General features: G+C 40.1%; 1 protein-coding gene across 5 annotated transcripts in view; it reads left to right on the top strand.

Moving 5' to 3' along the window:
* The window catches only part of SLC24A2 (solute carrier family 24 member 2), an 800,438-nt gene that overhangs the window by 698,723 nt on the left and 77,701 nt on the right, over window positions 1-24,014 (top strand). For 3 of the 5 annotated variants that reach the window (XM_017014592.2, NM_020344.4, NM_001375850.1), the window contains one exon: window positions 11,891-11,941. The exons of the other annotated variants lie outside the window; for them this stretch is intronic. In XM_017014592.2, coding sequence (XP_016870081.1) covers window positions 11,891-11,941 — 51 coding nt within the window. The remainder of the gene's footprint in view (window positions 1-11,890; window positions 11,942-24,014) is intronic. 5 annotated transcript variants of the gene reach the window in all.

Raw genomic sequence — 24,014 nt, 5'->3', positions numbered from 1 at the left:
GCAAGCGCCCTGGTGGATGTACAGCAGGCACGGCACTGGACACAGTGAGCACTGGCTGCAGGCAAGCAAGGCTTGCCAGACCCTCAGGAAATCCAGATCATTGTGTGAACCCTGAGGAAGGGCCTTCAGGGAAGTGTTCCTGGAGAAAGTGAGTTTTGAAAGCAGGTTCTTGAAGGAGGTAAGGAGCCTGGATGAGCAGAGGAACCAGCTGGCTCAGGGAAACCCCAAACTATGTATTGTCCCAACCAAAACGTGGTTCCTTTGAGATGAGCAGGCATGTAGCTCCTTGCCCACTGAACTAACGCTCTAGCAGTCTCTCCTGTCGAGGGGTGCTAGGTATGTGCGAGTGTCTATGCGTGTGTGTGTGTGTGTGTGTATGTGTGTGTGTGTGAGAGAGAGAGAGAGAGAGATTTCAGTGCAGGAAACTAAGGGCCTCAGAGATGGTAGAGAAGGAAAACAAGAAAGTGGAACTTTTGTAGTACCCACTCTGTGCCACACACCCGAAAGTCATCTCATGTAATTCTCTCAGCAGTGGCTATGGGAAGTCATATGCATGTTTTACCTCTGAGAAAACTGCGGTTCCAAGGGGTGGCATGACTTGTTCATAGTCACCCAGCTCCCAAGTCTGACTTCTGAGCCTGGAGACTTCACTCACACAGGACTCTATCTGTGGCCACACATGTTCACACATCTGTCTGTTCTGTAAAGGCTTTCCAAGTCTTTAACACAGACACTTAATGTTAACTTGAAGCTGACACTAAGATTAAACTGTCACTTGCTTGCTGGGTTTGCTTTTTGTCTCACCAAATACCAGAGCTTATTTCTCTTAGCTTCTATTTAAAAAAAAAAAAAGCTTCAAAATGAGCTTTCATAAATTTTTGTTTGGTCCCAAGAGAAAGTCATTTCATGCCCCCTTTTATCCAAAAAGTGGAGAAGGTGTCTCTCAAAAGCAGTTTTGTAATCTTTCTATCTTAAATTTTAGATCAGCTTATACTACCAAGATGTTTGCGTGCAGCCTCCGCCTGGTAAATGAATAGGCAAATGAGTGAAAATCTTCACTGGAGAAAAATAAAATCCAATCTACTGGCCGTGGTCTACTAATATGACAGTAGTATCAATCCCTGGATAGAGGAGGACAGGCCATTAATGCCTCTCATAGAGCAAACACAGGACAAGTTAAATAGCTCCTCTCTTTAGGGAATAGTAAAGCATTATTCTCATATTTGAATTTGAAACATGGTTGAAACTGAATCTCTCTTTGTGTTGTACACATTATAAATTAATGTTATTTGAGCCATAAGGGAATGTGAATTGTCTTACTGAAATAAACTGCTTTTGAGTATGAGAAAAGTTCCCTCTCTCTTTCTTTCTCCAATGAAAAGGTTGGCTTTGAAGCAAAGGCCACAAGGTATGTGGCCAAAAAGTTGATTTTTTTTTTTTTTTTTTTTTTTGAGACAGAGTCTCACTCTATCACCTAGGCTGGAATGCAGTGGCACGATCTTGGCTCACTGCCACCTCCACCTCCCGGGTTCAAGCGAGTCTCCTGCCTCAGCCTCTCAAGTAGCTATGATTACAGGCATGCACCACTATGTCTGGCTAATTTTTGTATTTTTAGTAGAGACGGGTTTCGCCATGTTGGCCAGGCTGGTCTCGAACTCCTGACCTCAGGTTATCCACCTGCCTTGGCCTCCTCCCAATGTGCTGGGATTACAGCTGTGAGCCACTGCACCCTGCCCAAAAAAAAATGATTTTGATGGCATTTGAGCTCAAAGATATCATGAAGAAGGAAAAGGACAATGAAGTATCCATAAAATTAGAGCTTCATCTTTCTCCTCTGGAACTTATGCTCAAAAGGGAACTCCTTCAGAAGGGAGGACTCAGAGTTCCCAGAGATAAAAAGCAGCTGTCACAGATGCAATTACTTGGGGGACCAAAGGATGGGGGCAGTCACTGAAGGTGAAGAAGCACTTTCATTTACCAAAGACTTCCTATTCGAAATGTGTATTGTTATATAAACATCATCTGTGATATGAGAGCATCCAGAGGTGTTTTCTCCCAAATGAAAGGCATTTACACTAAAGACACCTCTGAGTGTTTAATAAGTAGCAGGGCCTCACTTCATGAGGTTGAATGACTTGCATTCTGTGATGAGATGACTTTCTCTGACACTAGGGAACACATTTTCTAGTTGACTCTTCCATCTGGGATTTGCACTGGCCACAACACTCATGTGTACATGCTGATCATATTGTAAACTCAATCCTCAACTGGCTGTCAGGATCCATTTCTCTCCTGACCTCACATTATCAGATCCACCAAATCTTGCCTCTTTACTTCAGCCATTGAAAAGAATTCTCCCACCCACAACAAACGGTCCTTCACAGGTTGTCCCCGGGCTCAAAGGAGGCTATGTTATACACACGTGCACATACACATTTGTAAAGAGTCAATCAGCATTGTTGCTTATATAGTTTACAGGTCTATATCAGACTTGTTTAGTGTGTGTGTGTGCGTGTGTGTGTGTGTTCTCATATATTCATTTACGAAACATATTTCCATTGCAAGCTGACATATGAGTGGTAACCCCATTGGGAATGTTCTCCTTTACAGGCCCCCACTGTAGACAAGACTCTGGGGGAACTTTAGCCAGTGCTTGCCCCAGACTAGTTAACTCCCTGAATGCCAGTTTAAGTGCTGTTGTTGAACCTGCCTTTAGATATGCAGTTGCAGTAACCTATGTGGCTACTTCTCTTTGACCTCCCAGATGGCAGCACTTAAGCCCAAAACACCAATAGTGAATGTAGCTTTGCTTTCTACTCTAAGGCCCTGAGACCATAACAACCAGTATTGGCAGGAGTTAAATTCCATAGTAAATCAATCTCATTTTAGAAAATTATTTATGATGAAAATTCTCCTCTGCCATTTCTGAGAAAAAACCTTTTATCCAGTTATGGATTTTTTTTTCATGCAACACATTTCCATAGGTGATGCAGCAGGTCATGCAAGGTTTCCTATCTGGAATAGGTTACAACTATTTTCTTGACCTGAGAGCTAAACCCCATCTTGTCAATGCTAGTGAGGATTACACCATGAAGACCTGATTCTAGGAGTTCAAAGGTGACATCACACAATGTGCCCATTTAGAAAAACCCTCTCTACCCTGCTTGGGGTGTGCATGGTGACCTCTTCCCATCAGATTCTTGGGAGAAGTAGCAGAGTTAGTTACTGAGCAGACACAATGAGGAGCCAGCCACCTTGGTTTGAACCCCAGTTCTGCCTCTTACTAGCTGTGTGCCCCTGGGCAAGTTACTTAACTTCTCTGTAACTCAGCTTCCTCCTTTGTAAAATAGGAAAGATAATGGTATCTGTCGTGGGCTGTTAAGTGTATTCAATGGAATGCTATTTGTAGGGCACATAGAACAGTGCTTGCCACATCATTAGTTCTCTGTAGGCATTTGCCCAATAAGTTGCTGTCAGTTGTTCGTTTTTTCTTGCAGCCATCAAAATTTTAGACAGCTTTCAGTGGTTCAATCATAAGACCTTGAATTATCTTTTCTATATTTTCTTTCCTGAAAAAGAAGCCTATTTACCATGTGCCATATCTTCAGGTCCTGGTATACCTATCTATAAGATAACATGGGAACCGATTTTCTATTCATCAGCTTCTCATTGAGCAAAAGTTATCCCAAAGCTGTATAATTTTAATCTCTGTATTTACAGAGTTCTCCTGTCCTTTGTACAATGAGAAGGAAATCATGTCACATGATACTTAACTCATTTCCTTCCAAAAGGCCAGATTTCATTTGGGTTCATAGCTATTGAGCAGACTTGAAAAAAATTCTACCTGGGGTCCATAGGTGTTCAGCAGACTAAAAAATGTATCTTTCCAATATATTGATAAAAAATCTACAGAAGCATTTATTCTCTCTATTAATTTTTTAATTCTGGTGAAACATTCTTAGGCCACCCTTTGGGTGTCACTTGGGGGTCAAAAGATAATGGCATGCCCTAGCTCCTCCTGCGTAACCAGATCTCTGGTTTACTGGCAGGCATTTGCTATTTAATCTAAGATGCATAACTATTTGGGAAAGATATCTTAATCTTCCACCCTTTCTTTGCATCCTGGATTTTAAACTGACTTATGTAATCCCACTTATACAGTCTAGTATTTAATAGGAGTAATGGTACATGGATTTATACTTACAACAGATGGAATTTAAAGGATTGTATGAACATTCTACTTTAAATTTATTCCTGTAAATTATTCATAATTTGGAGTGATTGTTTCTATTGTGGTAAAGAACCAAGTATTCAGGAAAATAACATGCCAGACAATACTGTAGTGTAGAATATATCATTGTAAGGAGGATTTTTACCTTGAATTACTGTCACATCAGTGGCATTAATTTTATGTCTTCCAGTCCTTTTTCCCTTAATTTCATTGTGTTCTCAAATTCCCTTGCCCTCTCATATTTCTCTTATCTCTTGCCTTTTTCCCTTCTTGGATGGCTGGAGTTTTTTTGTTTGTTTGTTTTTCATTTTACTGGTTTTCCTCTCCTCCCTTGGATATTTTTCTAATATTATTGGATGCTTTCATGCACCAGAGGGTAGAAACTCGGCTTTGCTGACCCAATAGCTGGATATAAATTAGCACTGATTCTCTTTGCCTAGCAAAAACCACTGAATCCAGCCAGGCCACAAGATGGGATCCAGGAGTATATCCAAGTTGTTCTCTAGCCAGCATGCAGCATCTATTCTGTGCACTGGTAGTTTCCATTGCCATTTTTTAAAGACAGTGCTGCTGTTTTGTCTTTTGTGTGCTGAGGACTCTCCTGATGGCTCTTCTGCATGATGTAAGTCCTCCTACTTCACTGAAGCAATGAAGGGGATTCCAAGAGTCAAGACCACCCCATGGGGCTTCCTCCCCATAGAGACACTATAAGCCAGAATAGTTGAAGCTGTGGAATTAGAACACTAAAATGGGAAGAATCATAGGTGTCAGTACCAAAGGTAATAAAGGTGAGGAAGATTAACAGAGCACTTTAAATAGATATTTAATTCAACTTAGCAGCATTTGTTGAACGCATACAGAGTGCCCCTTTACTCTGCTGGGTGCTGAAATTAACAAAATGCGTACAATGACTCTTTGCCTTAAAGGGCAGAAAACAAGTAGGTTAAGGTACATTTGATAAGATGAGCACAACAACAAAAGTGTATAGTTGGAACAGACACACAGGAGGAAAGTGACTTAACGTTAGGGATGGGGGCATTCAGGAATGCTGCATGGAGGAGGGAACCTCAACGGGGTTCTGAAAGATTCAGTAAATTAGGAGACGTAGTAAAATTCCAACGCAAAATCACAGTATGTGCAGGATTGAGAGGTGTTATAGTTTCACTTTGTGTTTAGAAATGATTACCTTGATAATGATGAGAAAGATAGGTGAAAGGTGCTGGGGGTAGACAGGTGGTAAGAAAGATAAGGGAAGAAGAGTGCAAATAAGACCATTGCAGTAGTCTAGGCAAAGCCTCAGAATAAGGCCAGGGCAGTGGAAATGGAGCAGAAAAGACAGAATTGAAGATATTTAGGGGTGGAATTAGACTTTGTGACTGGTTGGATTGTGAGTGTGGCTTACAGAAGCATCAGCATCACCTTAGTGCCCCCCTCCCTCCCCTCACCCTGTGGATCTTAGTCACATGTAATATAACCAAGCTCCTGTTTCTATGAAAGAAACCAACAGGCCTATCTGTACACAGCACTTCATAAATCCTTTTTAAAAAAAGCAGAGGAAGATAATGGAATATTTTGCCACTTCTAAGAGTGGGTAATAAATGTGTTTGTAACCCCCAGCCCAGAATTGATAGGATTTAATGAGAAAGTACCTTTTGCTTGATTTTGTAAATGTAATCTTTCAATTTATAGACAAGCAAAAATGTACCCAAGATGATAGATGTCATTAATGAAAATGTTAGTTTCCTAACCCCCCATCCACCTACCCCCACAAAAAATTAAGAACACATTTTAGAAATACTCTATTAGAAGAGCTCAAACAGATTTTCTGAAATTAGAAATGAATTCCAACTGTTGCATGGATGGTTTCAGATATTCTATGTTCTTTGCTATTCAAATCATATTTTTTCACTATCTTTAATATTATTTTTTCCCTTCAAACTAGAGCTGAAAAAGGGACCAGAGAAAATGTTGAATATTCAGCTCGAACTCTGAATTGATGCATGGGGAGGCAATAATAGTGACAACAGGAATAACTAATATTTATTGAATATTTACCATGTGCCTGCCAGACACTGGGCTAAGCATTTTATACAGATTAACTTATTTATTTTCCACATCAATCCTATAAGATAAGAACTTTTATTATAACCATATTACAGATAAGGACATTGAAGTTCAGAGTAGCTAAATGATTTACCCAAGACCACACAGGTAGAAACTGATGGAGCTGGGTTCAAACCCAGGATTGTTGGACCCCAGAACACACTCTTTTAACCACTGGACAATACCACTTTCCTGAACAGCTGAAGTCCCTTTTGAGCTTCCCTTTCAAAAACCAAAACCTAATATCTTTATGTCATTTCTTTCTCTGAGTTGTACATTCTTTAAATAATACCAATGTAACTGACATCAGGTCTCAATGTACCTGATGTTAGATTATACAAAAGAATATAAATGACATTCATAGACTTCCTTTGGCATGACATCATTGGTCATTATTTTTGTCATTCTCATTTTACCTGCTTCTTCTCCAATATAAACTTGTGAAAAGGATGTTAGAACAAGGTTCAAATCCTGGGTGGTCACTTGTGACATATTATCTTAGTCTGGACAACTCATCACTTACTAGATTTTGGCCCAATCATAGAATGATGGGTTCTATATGTATGAGCTTGAGCACTTCCAATGTTCCAGGCATAGCACAAAGCTCCTTACAACAACATATTGAGGGACGTACTAGAATGAGCCCCATTTTACAGATGAGGAAACTAAGGTTGTGAAAGGCTATCTTACTACAAAGTCACACTGGTAATAAAAAGCAAAGTCTGGATTAGAACCCATATCTATTGACTCCAAAATTTCCACTGTGCTACAAGATCTCCTTGTTCTGCATTATAATGATAAGGTCTCTTGATACCAAAGTTCACTCTGATTTTTGAAGATCAGAAGAGTACTATGTATGGGAGCTTCCTAATTTGAAGGAAAACCAACTGATGCACTAAAGTCATAATAATACCTACCATATATTTAGTGAATATTATCTGTCAGTTACAGGTTAAGCACCTGTAATTCTCACCACAATTCTAGAATACAACTAGTATTTTTCTCATTTGCATAAGTGTGAGAACTAAGTCTCAAATACATTAGGTAACTTGCCCAAGGTCTCATGGCTAGCAAGTGGCAGACCCAGTTGTCAAGTCAAGGTCTGTAAGGCTCCAAACTATATATGCAACCCTCATGCTATATCATCACTTATCTCCTGGACTTTGTGAAAAAGGAAAAAAAAAAATATTCTAACAGTGTCAGTGTTTAAAATTATCTTAAGATTGTTATTGAGATTTTTAATTACACAGTAAAAATGTATCCAGAGTTGGTTCTTTCCGGTGGGTTCGTGGTCTCTCTGACTTCCAGAATGGAGCCGTGGACCTTCGTGGTGAGTGTTATAGCTCTTAAAGATGGCATGGACCCAAATAATGAGCAGCAGCAAGATTTATTGTGAAAAGCAAAAGAACAAAGCTTCCACAGCAAGGAAGGGGACCCAAGTGGGTTGCTGCTGCTGGCTGGGGTGGTCAGCTTTTATTCCCTTATTTGTCCCCACCCATGTTCGATTTCTGTCCTATCAGAATGCTCTTTTTTCAATCCTCCCTGCAATTGGCTACTTTTAGGACCCTACTGATTGGTGTGTTTTACAGAGCACTAATTGGTGCATTTTACAGAGTACTGATTGGTGCAATTTTACAGAGCACTGATTGGTGCAATTTTACAGAGCACTGATTGGTGCATTTTACAATCTCGTTGCTGGCTACAGAGCACTGATTGGTGTGTTTTACAATCCCCTTGCTAGCTACAGAGTGCTGATTGGTGCGTTTTACAATGGAGCTACAGAGTGCTGATTGGTGCGTTTTACAATCCTCTTGCTAGACAGAAAAGTTCTCCAAGTCCCCACTAGACCCAGGAAGTCCAGCTGGCTTCACTTCTCAAAACAATACTCATAAAAGGCAGATTGTTTTGGGTTGATTCTCTTGTCTAGGTTGCTTATTGTTTTTCTTTAAAAATCCTTTTCAGAAACCTGCATATTCAATCCTACGCTCTCCCCCTCCCCAGCCCACCTCAAAAGGACAGCAGCAGAAAAGCACATCTAGGTCCCATTTTTCTTGCTTGATCATCCAGAGCATGTAAAATAAGGTGAAATATGGCCTGAGTCAGCTCCTCACAAGACAGAAATCAGTAACCACTGATATTGCTAAGCAACACCACAGAGAAGCAAGGCTGAAAATGAAGTGGCAAATTTATAAGAAGTTGCAGAATCTGGGGACTTGCTTGGGCATTTCATTATGAACCATCTGCATGATCCACAGTAATGACCACACATTATTGTTCACTGTTCGAGGATGATAATTCCTACATAATTATATTCAGATCTCCCTCTGTGATTATAACCTACCTTTCAGGACTTTCACCATATTTTCCATAATCGAGATCTGTCCCTGTGAGACAATTGGGAGTTGTTACATCTAATGGGCAACTTTCATTCCTCCCCAAAGTAAAGTTTAAAACAAAACAAAAAAGTCACTCTTTTGGCTAGTGTGATACAGAGTTAGAGGGGTAGTAATATACGTAAGGGAGAAAATTGGTCATGGGATCATCACATCTCAGTAACGTGGGCTCCACCACGGTGGCATGAAAGCAAGTGTGATTCTCATAATGGGCAGCATTTACAATCGGATTACAGGCTCATCTCAAACACCGACCACAGGGTTCTGGAATTTCTTCTCCATCTGTGTGGCTTCTTAGAGAAATGTTATAGAGAAGAGGCACCAGGTGGTACCCAGAATGACATTCACAGGTGATGTATGGCTCTTCCAATCCTAGCTGCCTCTTGCTTCACTGATACAGCGAACAGTGCTAGATAATGTTAACTAATAGACTCTTGAACTCCCTTACTTCTTTCCTCCTATCCCCAAAAAAACTAACCTTGGATTAGCCCCAGTTTGAATCCTAATCCAATTATGTTCAAAGTGCCTTAGTTATTCATTATGGAGAGTGTGCTGGTTGCAAGCCACATTCCTATGCCGGTGAGCGCCTCCCGGGTCCTCTCAGCAAGACTAGGTCTTGCCACAGGCTGTCAATAGACAGTGGGCAAGGGTACGTTCCAGGAGGCATCATGGGCTGTAGGACCCCAGCCAAGTGCATGATGAGCTCTGGTTTATGCATGCATGCTTTTTGTCCTAGTCGCATGTCATTTCTCTTTCTGCACCTCCTGAGTCCCTGCTTCAGGGAGGAGGGCCTTGTGGCTCCTGGAGATGCTGCCCAATCCTCCTTAGGATGCTGCTGCTGAGTTCACCATCTCACCATCCTGTTGCTGTTAGTGCTAAAGACCGTATTCTAGCAGGCTGGTTTCCATCTCCATTCTTTTCTGACTTTTCTTCAGTAAACTGTAAACATGGTTCTCTTTGTTTGGGCAGATACCATTCCCTTCCACTGCTTCCTCAGTGCGCCTTGAGTTGCCACAACACCTGCTGTTATTCAGCTTTTCACTACTCTTCTTCCTTCTCTTCCACCATCATTAGACTCATTTTTGTTATGTTCTGCCTAGTTCTTGTTCTTCAGTCTCATTCATCATATCCAAGGAAGCAGCTAAGAAGCGATCTAGACATTGCCACGTTGTCGAGAATGTGTGAGCTTTGTCCGATATGAACAGTTCCAATTCCAACTATGTACAAATAAAATGATAATTAAACAATATGAATGTATTTATTTATACCTGATTCTGCAAGAGATGAGGTGAGGAGTAATATCATCTGCCACAAGCAGATATTTGAAAGTTGGGATTGATATGTGAAAATAAGTGTGTGCATACAGAGGTTTGCGTCTACAAAAATGGATCCATAAAAATGCAATGGTGTATTGTCACTGTGTAGAATATAGTTTACATCCAACTTTGCAAACACAGAGCCACTCATATTCTGTTTGCTGAGCAAATGGTAGAGAATGCCAGCTGCTTATTCCACTGCTTACCTCAGGGAAGGAAGAGAGGTCACAAAACAGTTAGTTGGCTGATGTGATTTGTTAATCTACTCCAAGATTACTCACACATGCAAACACATATATTATGTGTGAAGCCACTATGAACATATGTTTTATATTTATGTGTTTTATATTTATGAAGGTATTTAGGTCATTTAAGAATTCCGAAGTTGTGCAATGTCAAATATATAATACTGTTCTTAAAATACCAGAATATATATATATACATATATATACACGTATGTATATATTTTTTTCACTGATGGCAATCCCCAGAAGTCATGAAAAAAATTTTCTTTCTATTTATACAAAATTCAATTTCTTTTTGAAGCACCTGCATCTTTTGTAATGTGTCCAGAATAGGCAGCTCTTCGTAGAAACATAAACATGTGATTTTTCTCCCCAAGATATAATTTTGTGCTGGCGTATTAAAACAATTTTAGATAGAAATCTAGGCACATGAAAAAATGTGTAAATGATGTATCATACAAATATGAAATACACGAATATTTATTATTGCATTTTAAGCTAGATCCTTCATCTTGCACACAAAACCCATCAATTTTAAGTTTATTCATATGAGGATTCCCAGCAGCTGGCCCAGTTAATGGGCCATGGGAGCATTCTGCAGAATCCTACAGAACTATCTCTTGAGTCTAATTAATGTCTTGAAGTTTATTGGGAGAGTGGTGTTATGACCAGAAAATATATTTTTAACCTGCTCACAAAATTGCTTAAAACAATCTAGAATTTTCAGACAAACAAGGATAAAAGTTGCTATTTTAAAACTGAAGAAAACAGAAATGGTGTATCCCACTCCTTCTCTCCCCTCAACTGCAGCTGCCACTCCCACCAGCTCACTCAAAACAGCTCACATTCTGCCAGGGGTTTCCATTATAGGGGGAGTCCATTGATGATGTGTACACAGAGGGGGAGCTGATGGTCCTTGCCCTGCCTCCTGCTGTTTACATAGCAGCCACCAATGCCTTAGTCCTGGAGCTGTGGCTGCCCTGTCACTTATCTGAGCTGGTGGTCTTCCCTGGGAACATGCCTCCTTTTTCCTCCCAGAGCACTCTGTGTTGTCTGTCTAAAATATAAGAAGAGAAAGGGAAGTTTAGAACGTGGTTTTTCATGTTAGATTTTCCTAGGTAGGCTTCCTTTTTCTCTAGGAAATGGTTCTGTTGGAGAAAAGCTGTGAAATAAACTTCTTGAACTGCTGTTCTGTGGCAAGGAATCACAGTGTCTGCAAGCTTCCATGAGCCTGGACGTTGTCCTTGTTCAGTCCCTTTCTCTCGGAGTGTCACCTCTATAAAAATTACAGGGTTACAATAGACCTGGGGTGAAGTTATCTTTGCCAAATACTCTGTTTCATTGGATGTTAAGATAACTGTGCCCTATTCTGTAATGCAGGGCACACTCTACCCCCGGTAGCATAATATATTTAAAGTGATTTCTGAAAATGGGCCGTGAAAGCTGTCTGCCACATGGCCCATGTTTGCACATCTCCATATAGTTACGATTGCAAAATTTGACAGTATAACTCTGAATCTGATTAATTAAAAATGTGTAAAAACAAAGTTCTTGCATTATAGCTCGTTCCTTATCTTTGTGTCTTTTACTGTGATGTTGTAGAACTTGGATCATATGGAAAACTAAAATATTATGACACAATGACTGAAGAAGGTAAGAATGATTTTAGAATTGTATGCATTGGCTTTTTTACATTTATGGTGTCTGTTGCTTGCCCATTTTTTATTCTTTTTTTTCCTCTCTGCATGACTTCAGTGACATTGTGTGACTTACTATTCTTTCTGCATTTTTGTCTAGTTTTTGCCATTGTGTTTATTTGGAATTGGAGACGTGCAATACCATGGGTAATCATGTTATTCCATTCAGACAATTCAAACCATCATAATTATGTAACACACTCAGAGAAATGGTGTCAGTAATGTAAACACAAATACCCACTGCGCCAGTACTTTCCCCCACATGCTCACAAAACATATAGAAACATTCATCCAATAATTTTCTAATATGTCCTTTATTTCAGAGGGGGATGTATTTTCTGGTGGTTTTCTGATTTATGCAAAGGAATGAAAGATCTGAAGTATCTTCTATACCCAGAACCAGCTAGACACCTGATTCTGATGTGGAGGACTGTAGGCTCATGGCCTGTCTCCCTGCAGTCCCTATTGTTTCAGATAGGAGCATTACTCTGAGAGGCTGGGTCCACCATTCCATCCAGTAGCATTGTCTACATGAGGGTTCCCACTCCATGAGGATAGGCATATCATTTTAACCATTTTCTCTGAGTAGAGATTTATATAAGATGTATTTATTAATGAATTCCAGGCACTGTCCCAGAACATAGCCTTGTCCCAGGAAGAATCTCTTTTCTGATGTAGGTTTGCCATGGAACAGCAATGTGAAGATTTTGAATTCTTGGAAAGGGAGCTGTCCTATTGCCTTAACCCCTATTTCATCCCATACATACTGCGACTTTTTAAAAATATATAATATTTGTAAGTTATGAAAAACATTTAAGGTTTTTTACATGACTTTTACATGGATACTGACAAGAAATGGAAAGGTACCCTCACAGAGGAATCAGTTCATCTTATTCTTCAGCATGAGAGAGAAACTCCCAAATGTGTTGCATATCTTGCTTTCAGCTTCTAATATTCTAAGCTGCCTTAGCTTGCCAAAGATCTCCTAGTTGCTTTGCATGCAAGAAGTGAAACATCTGACAACCCCGGGCAAGAGGAAGCCCCTTCCCAGCCCCTCTCCACTCTGGCTTTTGCACAACACCTAGGCCCTTCTCTTTTGCTAGCCCTGTGCTTTAAATTAACCACCATGATATTTTCTAAAGCAGCAGACCACTACTAGGATCTCACACTGGGCCCTACCAACAGCTTGGGGAAATGCAGACCCATGGGCAGCAAGAGGTCCAATGACAGAACCCTACATGTAGGAATAAGTACCTGCTACCAAGGGGATAGAAGGAGCCATTTATACATTTAAGGAAGGCTCCTGTCCCAGTTATTATTTTATTCTTGGCTTAGGAGGGGGAGTTTGTTAGCATCCACCTGACCTGTCAAGCCCTTTACTTTCTCTCTTTCCTCCATCCTGTCCATTACCTTCTATCATTAATGTCCTACCTCCTACGTACTTTTGTTTCCCTGCCATCCCCTTCTCCTTTCCTTCCTCTTCTCACATTCATCTGAGCAAATGTTGTCCAAGTGTTCCCTTTCTTTCCTCCCTACACCAGACAATTTAAGATAAGACGAAGATGCAAATTCTACTTCCAATCTGATTCTATCACTTGATAACAACCGGGCTTTGGAAGCAGGAAAACACAGTCAAAATCATGTATGAAATGAGAACCATGGCTGGCCCTGAGCAAAACTGTCAAATTGTGTTTGGGGGCCCTCCCTGGGTCACCCTCAACATACTTTATCCTTCTCTTGATTTTCCCATCCCCTCACGCATATCCCTTTGTGTCCCATTCTTAGCTGAAAATTTATCCCCATTACAGTGATGGGTAATAACTGCAAAGGCAGCATTTTAAAAGTGAAATGCTGGTTTCATAGGATGTCACTAAGAATTTTTCAACAACAAGGAAAAAAAGAAAAAGCAAAAAGGCAAGGCTGATTCCATAAATAAGTGGGAGAGCTTCTGAGTTAAGTTTAATAGATCTCTTTATCACGTGACTTCTCAGAGTTTTCATTATGCTGCTGTGTACTGCAGCATATAATAAATTGTAAAGAGGGATGGAGTAGACAGTGTTTCCCAGACTTTCTGATATGGAACCTTTGTGGAAACGCTGGTTGAAGTTAATCCTTCACCTAGAACAGGAACCTCTGAAAGATTTTTAAATTTTCTAAATACATAGCAATCCCTCTCAAGTACTAGAAAAAAGAATATTTTGGAATAGCAGCTGTCCATCCAGCCATGTAAAGTTGCATCCTTCGACAGGTACCTCCATGACAAGCCAAGTCTGGCTTAAACCTAATTCTGGTACTCCATCTAAAAGGCTCAAAGCCAGCTCAGTAACCTCAGATCTGGTAGAAGCCAGGCATGGCCTCTTCAAACTCTCAAGGGTCTCTCCCCTCCCACTGGAAAATAAGAATAATATATGTGATTTATGTCACTTTCATGTTGTACAATTTAAGGAAGTATAATAAAGACAAAGATGTTTGGGGCAATAACTGTGGACTAGCTAGCTAGCCTTTGAGAAATACCCCTTCCAGTTAAGCATTTGCACAATTTTAGAATTGTGACTAGCTTTTGAGCAGGGCTTTGTTGTGATTGTCCATGTGACAAGTCCTTATTTATAACTGTTTCCAGGGAATTCTCTGGATGTTGTGTGAGGTCATGACTTGCAATGAAGCCTGGGTCATTTTTTTGTTTGTTTGGTTGGTTGGTTGGTTGGTTTTGTTTTGTTTTTTCCCTAAGTGGACCAAATGGAAAGATGCATTATATATACCACCCTGTATCCAAAAAAGAACTGAAAGATGATTTCTAAATATAGAGAATTGTGCTACATATATTCAGCTTATTATTTTTAAGCACCTATTGTGTACAAATTATTCTGCTGGGTGCTTTGGGGAAATAAGAGTAAAGGGTGGGCAGTTTGACCCCATGGAATTTACAGACTGGGGGGAAAAAATAACACACGGCAATCACTGAGACACCAGGAAGAAAGTGGTAAGTACCACAGGTGTTCAGAAGATGACAGGCTACAGGGGAGGAAAGATTGCTTTCCATGGAAGTTGGGCGGGTGAGGTGTGGGAGGAGATTTTGTGGAGAAGGTGATCTTTAAACTGGGCCCTAAAGAATTAGTAAATATGAGGTAAATCAGGAAAGAAGGGTGAACTACTAGGCTAAGAAAAGGATGAAGGGATAGATGCACACCAACGTTCACTGGGTGTCTCCCACTGCTGGGTGCAGTGCTGTGGGCTTATATATATTCTATATCATCTATCATAATGATCATAAAAGTGTATTTTATTGAAGAGGAGAAAACCAAGGCTCAAAGAGTTATTTTATTAGATGAGGAAACTAAGACTCAGAGAAGCAGACTAATTTGTTCTGGGACTCAGAGGTGATAAGTGGTGATGCAGACCCTGAACTCAGCACTGTGTCCCCCCAAAGCCCCGCCCTTTGGGTTCCACTGCAGCTTGTTGTACAAGATGGGGAGTGGAACAGGGGCAGATGGAATTGGCTACAGCATAGGGAGTGGGAAGAAATGCTTGATGGATACCATAGACTAAGAATGAGGGCATCACGGTGTGGACAACAATGAGCTATTGAAGAAAGCATTTCTTTCTACATGAACACTGTGCCATGAAAAGGTTATTTTAATAAAACAATATACTTACTCTCACACGCAAGACAAAATCATGACGTTTGAAAAGTTTCTCCTTGCCCTCCGAGCCCTTTCCCCCTCCCCTGTCTCCCTCAGCCCTAAGATGCTCTAGAACCTCACTGGAGCAGCTCCCGAGGCCACACCCAACCTCCTCTCCCCACCCCAAGCCAATCCAAATTTTATCTACTTTTTTATTCATTCTTTCATGAATTTGTTCATCAATAGCCAGTATGTACCAGGTGCTGGATTGGGGGCAGAGCGGAGGAGATTAAACACAGTTCTCCTAAAGAACTCATGACCTTGTGGGAGACACAGGCATGAGATGAGTAGACCCTAGGTGCTGGAACAGCCCAGTGGAAGGCATCTTTCTTATCTTGGGAAGTGAGGGCAGGCAGAATTCATAAAGCTCACAGCACTGTGCCTGGCAGGCGATGTCTCCACTGCCATGTTCATGTGTCCCAAGATGACAACCTGTCTTACCTGCCACCTGTACTAGCACATTCACTTAATAATAACTGAGCACCTTCTCTGAATGAGACATTTTGCTAGACATGATAAATTAGTGAGCTTTACTCCTCCCAGGGACTTTGCCCCTGTAATAAGATGTTTCTAGGGACAAAAATGTCTTTTGGTAACTTCAGCTACCCCTACACAGGCAGCAGTCACCTTATCTTCTCATACAGTGATACTGCATATTTTTGGAAGAGCAATCTCCAACTTTTAAAGTTAATAATGCATAGCTTATTTCTCATCTGCAGATACCCAAATTTCATACCATTCTTACTCTAGAAAATTCTCAATAAATTGAACGTGGCTCTTTTCCTAAAATTATTCTGAATAATAATATAGAATGCTAGTTCAAAAGTAGGCAAGTTTGTGTGATGGGACAGATGGATTAAAAGGAGAAAAGACCTTTCCACCAATGGCAGTATATAGAATTAGTAATTTTTGCTCTTCAAAGGTAAATGTTTCACAGAGACATGTAGGTAGATAGGTAGATAGGTAGGTAGGTAGGTAGGTAGGTAGGTAGGTAGGTAGGTAGGTAGGTGGGTAGGTAGGTAGGTAGGTCGGTAGATATCCCAACTAATATCTTGCAATGAAGCAATATGTGGGGAAAGCTGTCTCCATTGTATTGTCCTAAACTCTCTGCCATTTAACCAAAGACATTTCCAGAAAAATAATTTCACCACTATTTAAAAAGTCAATCCTTGTTCATTTGTATAAGGGAGAAAATGGTAGAAAAGTTGTGATATCAAGGGCAAAAAAATTATAAAGACCTTTTCCATAATTAAATTAAGCTTACTGTTTCATGGCAACCAACTGCCCCTTTACCAAGCTGAAAAACTAATAATGTCTTACATGAATCATGGGGTCCTAAATTAGGCATGTGGCTGTTTTGAAAACCCCCATTATTTCAAAGAAACAAAAGTATCTTAAGGTCACATTGTCTAGCCAATCATTTGATGTTCTTAGTTGCAGTGAAATAGTCTAATTATTTTCAAAGAGAAATTAAGTTTTGGAATACCATTCAGCAATGTTTTTCATTGCCCAGGATATATCAACTAAATAATGTTACTTTAAAATAAGTCCTTCTTGTTATCTGTGACCTTCATAGGACATTGTAATCCTTGCATGAAAGGATGAGATTGTGTCATACACACTGATACATCAGGCAAAATAGCTTTAGCTATATATAGCAGAAAATCCAAATTAACAGTGACTTAAATAAGATGGAAGTTTATTTTTCTCTCAAGTGTAAGAATTCGAGTAGCAGACAAGACATGGCAGCTCTAGCAGCTCCACAATAATTCAAGACCCAGGCTCCTTCCATCCTTCTGCTCCACCACCCTCGTATATGATTTGTAACCTCAAGGGCACCTCATGGTCCAAGATGGTGGCTGTTGAGCTCTGGCCATCACGTCTGTATTCTTGGAAGGAGGAAGGGTCAAAGTGATTTTCTCTAGATATTTTGTCTTCTTTTTAAGGAGCTTTCCCTGAAGACCCTCTCAGTAAAATTTGCTCAAAACTCAGTCACATGACTACCTAGTTTCAAGGCAATTTGGAAATGTAGTTTGTTAAACTGCATGAATTGCTGTCCCCAATAATTTAGGCATTATGTCATTAGGAAATGAAAATGGAATAGATATTGGATAGGCAACTTGCAGTCTCTTCTCAACAGGGACATCTCACTTTCATATAACTGTGTGTTGGTGGAGAAGACTGAGAATAGAGCAAGCTATAAGAGGGAGCTTGAGCACTCATGTTAAATTTAAGATGCCTATGAGACATCCAAATGGAGATGTTGAGAAAGTGGTGGGTGTAGGAGTATGGAGCATGGGATAGAGGTCAGGCAGAGCTGTAGATGTAAATTTGGGGGTCATAAAATATGCGTGTTATTTAAAAGCTACAGAACTGGACTATAATACCTAGCTAATTGATAGAGAAGAGAAGGCCAAGAATTGAGCCCTGGGGACTCCAAAGTCTAGAGTCCGGGAAAAAAGGGGAGGCCCAGCAAAGGAGACTGAGGTGGGAAGAAAACTAGGATAGAATGGTGTCTCTGGAGCCGAGTGAAGAACACGTTAAAGGAGGGCAGTGAAAAGGTGACCGCATCAATGAATTGACCAGTAAGATCAAAGAACATCTACTACTTTCTTGTAGTAGAAAGAGAAAAGTGAGTGGTGGACAGAAAGTGGGATGCTTCAAATTGGGGGTTTTTTGACTTGCCAAAAACTTAATATCAAATTGGGGTTTTGGAAGTGGTGCAGTTATTGCTAGTGATGAGGTGTAGGCTTACCACAGGAGTGGGTGAATGAGGACAAAACGAGCTGGGAGTGAGTAGGTGAAGGCACTAAGGTAAGGAGCCAGGTGTTGCAGGGCTCACCTAAAAAAAGTCATCACAGATGGGAACAGAAGTAAGGACAGAGAGGAAAATAATAAGCTAGGTTCTACGATCTTCAGGAATGAATGGAGGGAGACCAGGAAGTCCGCTTGGGTAGAAGGGGTGGTTATTGCTTTGTACTCCCAAGGAGGGAGGAAAAGTGGGCTAGAAGTAATAAGGAAGGGCAGGATGGAGAGCAGGGTGTTTGGAGGAGCAGGCAGCTGCCACTTTTCAAGGGCTGCAGAAGAAAAGGGGCCTTCAGGAAATAGTCAAGTTTCAGTAGGAGCAAGAAGACAAAGAGAATTTTCAGAAAAAAAAGGTGAAGGATCTAGGAGATTTACTGTTGGCAGGAGTGGGAGATTGAGTCAGATTGGGGACATTCAGGGCCATCTGGATATGAGGGTCTGGAAGTTGATGAATGACGTGGAAGCTCTGCTAAAGTGAACGAGGATGTAGCATGTAGTTAGGAAACAATTTGAAAATGTTTTAGAAGTTAGTTGTTACCACAGCCTCTTTCTTCAAATTGGTCCCATGGGCAGTTTGCCATGGTAAAGTAGGGTCTGTCTTTCCAGGAGAGGGGAGTTTTGGGGACCCTCTTAAGTCTAGCTGGTCAGGAAAGCACATCAGCCTTCCTAAATTCAGAGAAAGAGAGTTCAGCCCAGCATAGGAAGGCCTCTCCTACAGACATATCCAAAGATGGAATGGCCTGCCTCAGAAGGGAGTGAGTCTCTTTGTCTAGAGAAGCCAGGGAAGCCTCCACCCAAAGAGTGTTCAGATAATGGATGCTTTGATGCCCCTTCTTTTGCAATGCTCAAGATTCTGTATCAAGTGTAATGATAGACATTGATCTGCAGTCTACTTAAACCCTATGAAAACTTGATCTTGCATTTTGAGTAAGCTGCCACCAAGACTATGGTAGGTAGGTTCCTAGGTCACAGCATCTGAAATAAAAGGCTTGTATATTATTTGATCTAGTTCATATCCAAAGTCTTTATTAATATGGTTAAATATAGCAAATAGTACATTAGATAGTTCCTAATGTGTATTACATAAGTGAAACAGACCTTTAAAATGATGAAAAAATATATATTCCCTTTTGGTTACAAATCCAAACGTTTACCACAGTAGAAATCTTAAATCATGGATTAATTTTAACTATTTTTTGTTATAAAAACATTACATGCACACATAAGTAAAAAAGCAAACACTACATAAGGAAAGACAATAAGAGTGAATCTCTTTCCTACCCCAGATTCCATCCATTCCCTAGAGATGACCACTTTTATCAGTTTCTTTTCTAACCTGGCTTTTGTTATTAATTGCATCTTGGAGATCTTTCCACATCAGCACATTTAGACTTTCTTCGTTCATTTTAACAACTGCTTAGTATTTCACTGCATGGCTGTTCCATGGTTGGTTCAATCAGTACCCTGTTGAACATTTAGGATATTTTCATTCCTTGTTGATTTATTTAGTTATTACAACAATGCTACATGAATATCCTCTTTGGCCATTGAGCAAATTCTACTGAGTAGAAGACATATACATATAAAATAAATTTCTGAAGATAGAAATGCCAGATCAAAGAGTATACACATTTCAAAATTTGAAAGATATTTGTCAAATTGCCCTCCAAAACAATTGCACCAATTTATGCTCACACTAACAATGAATTGCAGAGCCTCAGACAGCAAATTTTTTTTTGGAGACAGAGTCTCACTCTGTCACCCAGGCTGGAGTGCAGTAGCGCAATCTTGGCTTACTGCCACCTCCGCCTCCCAGGTTCCAGCGATTCTCCTGCCTCAGCCTCCCAGGTAGCTGGGATTACAGGCAGGCGCCACCATGCTTGGCTAATTTTTGTATTTTTAGTAGAGACGGGGTTTCACCGTGTTGACCAGGCTCGTCTTGAATCCCTGACCTCAAGTGATCCACCTGACTCAGCCTCCCAATGTGCTAGGATTACAGGCATGAGCCACCACGCGGGGCCTCAGATGGCAAATTTAAATAAGTCCTTTGAAGAGAGACTCAGATTGGCTTCATTACAAAGCACATAAGCCTTTGTAATATAACAACTACCTTCTAATTTACTTGTTTTAGAAACCTGAGTTTTTACCAGAGTTGAGTTAAATACAGAGTGCAGTTATGGTAGAGGTATTTGACCTCTCTAAATTAAATGACAAGGCCGATTTCCTACACAGAATCTCCAATTTCCACTGCAGTGTGTGCCCTTCATACCTCAAGATCATTGCTATCCCTACAGAAAGTCTGAGAAGCACACTGCAAGTTGACTTTCTACCTTGCAATTACCAAAGCAGAGAGCCCCTACTGTGCACAGACACCATTTCCAATATCGTGCTATCTTTCATTCATCCCAAGTTTATGGCTTAACTCATACAGTTCAAACTTTCATAACCAGAGGATTTTTCTGGGCACTTGAATAGATGTTCTCTGTAAGGCTGGGCCTTATCCAGAAAAAAAAAAAAAAAAGAAAAAAAGAAAAAAAACTGTATTGAACCAGTACTAGCCACATTACTGCTTCAGAGATGTATTCTTATAAGCATCTCCCTGGGGCTGGATCTTAGGAAGACAGCAGGCTAGTCTGTGTGCATAACCAGGCTAACCAGCTAGCAACCAGCATCAGGTCTGTTAGAAAGACCAAACCAGCTATGTGGGTAAAGCCACAGTCTTCCTGAAAACCAGGACCAAGGAATTCTTCTAATTAGAATACATCCAGCTTTTCAAACTTCATTGCATCTTATTTTCATGATCTAAACTGTCAGCAGTAAAAGCAGAAAGATTGGACTTGGCAAAGAAAGGCAGATTTTGTCACATTGCATATGTAGAAGGTGTTAAATGGCAGCAGAAGGCAAATTGTGGATGCTTCTTTTTGTGTGTTACTGACATCTCTAGAGATGAAGATTTAAGTTGCCTTCGTCAGTCAAACTTGAATCTGTTATTATAAATTAATAATATGATTCCCCTCAACCATGAAGCTCTTTAAAAAAAAAAAGGTGGGAATTTGTTATACTTGGAGGCTGGCATGTTCAATTAGGCATGGTAAGTTTCTCTTTTGATTAGATCTGAAGTAAACCTAATCATCTCATTTTAGTCATAGGCCTCTAAGCCTTTAGTTAAGGACTCTCAGCATGTGCCAGTGCTTCTGCTGCTAACCCACGTTTCACATGAGATTTACAGGTACCAGATTACAATGTAAAGTTGAGGACTAAAATTAAAATATAAACTAAGAACTCAGATTAAGTGAAAATTCATAGACATATGAAACCCAGGGGACAATACATGCTATAAGTTCACAAAATAGGGGCAACTACTGAATACATGTTAGCCAAATATAAAATCTTCCACTTTACAATAAAATAAATGATTGGGTAATATATAGGTTCCTCAAAAGAAAGAATTATTTTGTTTGATTCTGTTTTTTATATATAGGTCATCATAATCTTTCAACACCTATTTCTTGAGCACCTACTATTTTCCAGATACGGTAAATCAGATCAAAGCTCTCCCCAAATGAATAATGTCACAACCCACTTGCAGAGACACATACCCAAAATATGGGCTTTGACAAAACAACTCTGAAGAGAATTTTTATGCCCATTAGGAGGTAGTTGGGTTAAATGCTGGCAGGTCTTAGGATATGTGGCCTGCCTTTTTAGTAAAGTGATTCTTCATTCGTTTACCTCTTAGACATTCAGAGTTCCAGGGATGGGAACAAAAGAAGACATTTAAAGCTTCTGTCTAGCAGTCTCTACCTGGCTCAGAAATCAAATCTGAGAATAAGGCAAACCTCTGAGAATTTCTTTGTGTGAGCCATTTGTATCTGTATATATGAGATTGAAATGTTCAAAAGATTAAGTTCCTAAAACAATGAAGCAGGTGATCTAAAATGATAAAGAACATCAGCTCTCAAGCACTGTCAGAAACGGCCACGATCAGTAAGTTGGCCCTTTTCCTGAAACATCATATTCTGCAGTCTGATACCTGCTGGGAGTTTTTTTGGTTTGTAAAATGCCAATTACATCTGAACTCAATTAGATTATCTTTTTATAAAAAAAGGGAGGGGGTATTAAAATAAACATTAATTATAAACACTATTAGTCTTTGGAAACTTAACTTAACCACAGCATTAATCAAGCAGAAAGTCTGGCAAGTTTCCCGCAATGTGTTTCTAGGCTTTTCTTCCTTCTGTACCCCTAAAAAGGAAGGTAAGCACAGAATATCATTTCATATAGCGAAAAATCTGAGCACTTTCTCACACCCACAGCCCCCAATGTCATATTCTTTGTTGTTTGTGTTAATGTTGCTATACTCACAAACACTTGTGAGGACCAGCCTAGGCAGTGAGCATTGAGGGCACAGATGGAGAACAGCATCCTTATCCTTAACAGCCCCACAGGCTAGTTGGGGAGAGCGTCAGTGAAACACTTCTGAGGCTCTATGACAAGTGCCGTGATAGGATAGGTATCAGGTGCTATGATGGGGGAGAGGGACTCAGGGAAGGCTTCCAGAAGGATGAGATGCCTAAAGCAGAGTCTTGAAAAGGAATAAGACAAATTCCTTAAGTTTCTTAAAAAGAAATAAGACAGATAAGAAGTGTGGAGAATTCCAAGCCTTGTGAAGAGTAAATCAGGAGGATGCAGGAGATGCAATTGAAAACTGGGAGACCAATTACAAAAGCACGTTCATATTTCTAACGATAAGGTGACCCTGCTAGGAAAGATGGTAGAACAAATTCACATTTGGGCTGATCCATCCTTTATGGGTGGCCACAAAGGTCATTCTTATAGAACATTATTAAAGAAAGCCTGAATGGGCACACGTGGGTAACCATATGAAAAGACAGCATTGGATTTGTCATTTACCCTTTGCATCAGGATGGCTCTCAAATGGAGCAAATGTTTAAATGGAACTGGAGGGCAAAGCTGCTAGAAAAACATGTTAGTTACTTCTATTACAATTAAAGTCCAAAAGTCATAAACAGATAAAGACAGCTATAGCTACAGAGATAAATGTAGATGTAGATATGCATGATTCAGTATACATGCATATCTTTCTTAGCTCTGTCCACTAAGAAAGGCTAGGAGCAATGACATCTTAGTAGCCATAAGCACACATAGTTCTCAGATCTTGGTTTCTAAATACCATTTTCCAATAAAAGGAGTCATTGCTTCTGGAGAACTGATTACTTCCAAGTGCTGAACCAGGAAACATACAAAATGATATTGAAACATCTTGTGATGCCAGAAAATAAAGAAATGCTTTGAAAAGGATGAAGCTTGTTGACTGAACACAGAAGCCAATCTGAAAAATATCCCAGTGGTCAAGATTGAAACAATTTAATTAACTGAATAAATAATGGGCCCACAGAATAAAAGAAATATGCACACATTTATACTATGTAAATAAATAATTGAATACTAAGTAAGAGAGACAAGACAGGTGTTACTTTCAGAATTCCAATTAATGAGTGTAGAGGAAATGAGGAAAAAAAG

The sequence above is a fragment of the Homo sapiens genome, chromosome 9, assembly GCF_000001405.40.
Source record: "Homo sapiens chromosome 9, GRCh38.p14 Primary Assembly".
NCBI classification, from domain to species: Eukaryota; Metazoa; Chordata; class Mammalia; order Primates; family Hominidae; genus Homo; species Homo sapiens.
The sequence above is the reverse complement of the archived record's forward strand: the minus strand, read 5'-3'. Positions and strand labels throughout refer to the sequence as shown.